This window comes from Homo sapiens, chromosome 1 (genome assembly GCF_000001405.40).
Source record: "Homo sapiens chromosome 1, GRCh38.p14 Primary Assembly".
Lineage (NCBI taxonomy): Eukaryota > Metazoa > Chordata > Mammalia > Primates > Hominidae > Homo > Homo sapiens.
Window position 1 is genome coordinate 151699739 of NC_000001.11, and position 319 is coordinate 151700057.

The following is a 319-nucleotide window of genomic DNA, read 5'->3' on the forward strand; positions in this document are numbered from 1 at the left end:
CTCTGGTCTGAAAAGCTCAGCATTTGTGGTGGGTGAGACATTTTAATTTTTTTATAAAGCTTCATTTATTATTATTTTTACAACTTCCGATCACACGCTTTTGTTCCCTAACTGATGACCATAAGACCAAGGACCATTGTGGCACTTTGTTTGGCAGTTTGGGAAGAGACATTGTTCAGGGGCTCATTCATTCACCCACCCATTAGCTTTGGATATTTAAAATCTAAGAAACACTACTGTGCTAATGGAGGGGGGAAGTGTTACCTTTCCTAAGCAAAGAATCCATAAAGAAGAACAAAGTGGAATTCCAGAATTAGAG